We start from the raw sequence: 2,513 nt of genomic DNA on the forward strand, positions 1-2,513 counted from the left end.
CCTCACATCTCACAAAATCACATCACTCTGATCTTCTGCCACCTTCTTTGACTTTTAAGGACCTTTGTGATTAAATTGATATAATCCAGATAATCCAGAATAACCTCCCTATGGTAAAGTCAGCTGATGAGCAGCCTTAATTCCACATGAAATCTTAGTTTCCCTTTACCATGTAACATAACATATTACCAGGTTCTAGTAATCAGAACATGGACATCTTTGGAGGAGGTGGAGGGTAATTATTCTACCTATAATAGCATATAATAACTCACAAAACCTAAAATGTTTGCCATCAACCCTTTAGGGAAAATGTTTCCCAACACATGTCCTAAACTTTGATTCATGCTTATGAACCTAAGTAAGCAAATACAGACCAGATGGAATTTTAGAGATGTTCATTTAATACATTACGTATAAAAACAAGAATAATTTTCATAAGCATGTATTACCAGGTGCCTGAAATAAAAAGATAAGCAAGACTTATCCTGATTCTACTGGCAGAAAAATCAATACACAAGAACCTCTCCTAAGAAGCAGAAGTACATAAAGGTTAAGAGTAAGGACTTGGGAGTGAGACAAACCTGTATTCCAATCATAGCTCTTCTACTTACTAACTGGGTGACCTTTTATAAGTTAACCTGTTTGTGCTTCAGTTTCTTTATCTGCTCAAAATAGTACCTAATTCATATGGTTGCTATAAAAATTAAATGCGTATAATGTGCTTAGTAGACTCTCTGACAGATAGTAAATTCTTAATAAATCTTAGTTGTACATTTGATAAAATAGAGGTTCCAAGTAGAATGGGAAAATTGCCCGATTGCTCAACTTAAAGAGATATTTGAAGAGATATCTTAGCAAGCTGTCTAAGCAAGATCAAAGAATATGGCTGAATTGTTTTCTTAAACTTAGCATTCTTAACTCCCTACTGGAGATGTCAAGCAACGTTGCCAGTGGCAACAGCTAATTCTCCTTCTCCATGCTGCCTGAAGTCCAGCCCACAACCGACTTTGCCACCCCATTTGTAGCTGCTTACAATTAAAGAGGCATTTGAATTACTTGCTTGGACTGACCAGTGATTAAGGTACTAAGGGCTTCTGAGTTATTCACATTCTCTAAACTGAAGTCACCGAAGGGGCTAGTGTCAGGATCTGGAGATCTATACAAATAACTACCTTTAGATCCAGGCAAGAGGACCCCTTGCTCTGGGTCCCAGGCATTGCAAATACCAAAACATAAATTTCTTTTATTTTTGATACCATAAAGAGGACATTTCTTTACACTTTAGAAACCCCTTCAGCAAACAGGAATTACAGATGAGGATCATACAAGCCAAATCCCTTCTCCCAACACCCATGAAGACCAGAAGATGTGGGGTTGAGAGTATATGCAGAAGAAAGAGAAAATCACCACCTCTTGCCTGAGAAACAAAAGAAAGAATAGCTGCTTTTGTTTAAATTTGACCACCCCAAATTCACCTAAAGTAAGTATCTAGGCAGGCCAGATACCTCTGATAACTGCCCTCCCACATCCCTTCTGCTCAGATTGTATAGTTTGGGGAAGGCTTAGAACTGCCTGTAATTGCCGGGTAGGAAAAGTAATGTGTTGAGGATAAACTGCCCACTCAACCCCTGGAGAGCTTGACCAGGTCAGTCCCCATCCTGGCTTCAAGTTGATCCAGGCACTGCCCAGGAGTCCTGAGCTCTGGGTCATGTTCACCCTGCCATCGCAGCAGATCTGAGGCTTACAGGGGACAGGTGTTGCCTGAGGGAGAATGTAGGAATTTTACTCCACAGGTCTCATGAACAATACCCAGACACATGCTGTAGGGCCCTGGGTAGCAACCTGAGCCAGGTTGCAGGCATAAATTGATTAATAGCTTTTAAATGTGTAGACATTTGGTATGAGGGCCTCCATTTGTACCCTTGCCCTGCAAACGTTAAGAAGGGTCTGTTTGCCTGTCCCATCCCAGTCAGAGCATCCACCTCTGAGTTCCCTTTCTTGGCTGCACTTCTAGGAATGAATTCTGGACCACCAATGACTAAATTTCTGAAACAAGGATGAAGCAATGTCTGCAAGGTGCTGATGGTTTTCTAAGACCAATATGAGCCATCTTTGCTGACATATATTCCCTTTGTTATGAGCATCCTATTGTTTAAGAGCAATAAATCTCTTCTTAGGTGACAGATTAGGATTATTACCTTTGCTTTTAGCAAGCCTATAAAATGAAATATGAATTCATATCATCTGGAGAGGGGAGAATAAGTCAAAAACTAAGAGAAAAATCTAATTTGTTACAGGCAGGCCATGAATGAATACTGAAAAAATATAAAAAGCTGAATTCCTACTACGAAAAATCTATTATTTTCTTTCTGAATTCAAGCAAGTTTTAGGAGGACTAAAGGATATGCATAGAAAGCATTAAAAAAATATTTATCTATATTGAAGGTGGAGAGTGAGGGAAAGGTAACAAAAATCAATATGTTTAAAATAAAAAGCTGCCTTGCAGTTTCAGG

The sequence above is a fragment of the Homo sapiens genome, chromosome 11 (assembly GCF_000001405.40).
Source record: "Homo sapiens chromosome 11, GRCh38.p14 Primary Assembly".
NCBI classification, from domain to species: domain Eukaryota; kingdom Metazoa; phylum Chordata; class Mammalia; order Primates; family Hominidae; genus Homo; species Homo sapiens.